This window comes from Homo sapiens, chromosome 1 (genome assembly GCF_000001405.40).
Source record: "Homo sapiens chromosome 1, GRCh38.p14 Primary Assembly".
NCBI classification, from domain to species: Eukaryota; Metazoa; Chordata; class Mammalia; order Primates; family Hominidae; genus Homo; species Homo sapiens.
Genome location: NC_000001.11, coordinates 217,892,475 through 217,892,899, shown reverse-complemented (window position 1 = coordinate 217,892,899; position 425 = coordinate 217,892,475).

Sequence of the window (425 nt, the reverse complement as noted above, 5' to 3'; positions counted from 1 at the left end):
TATCAGATTGACTGTGGTGGTGTTACAGTGCCGGTGTTCAATAACCCTTATTTTACATCATAAAGGCCCCAAAGCACAAGAGTAGTGATGCTGGCAATTTGGAAATGCCAAAAAGAAGTGTTCCCTTTAAGTGAAAATCTTAAAGTTCTCTACTTAATAAGGAAAGAACAAAAATTGTATGCTGTAGTTGCTAAGATCTATGCTAAGAATGAATCTTCTATCCGTGAAATGGTGAAGAAGGAAAAAGAAATTCATGTTAGTTTTACTGTCACACCTCAAACTGCAAAAGTATATATAGTGTTCGTTTTCAGGCATCCACTAGGGATCTTGGAATATATCCCTTGCAGAAAAAGAGAAGACTACTCTACTTGCTGGTATAATACTTTAACTAAGCTATAGACTTTATTCACCAGTTCTCCACTAAT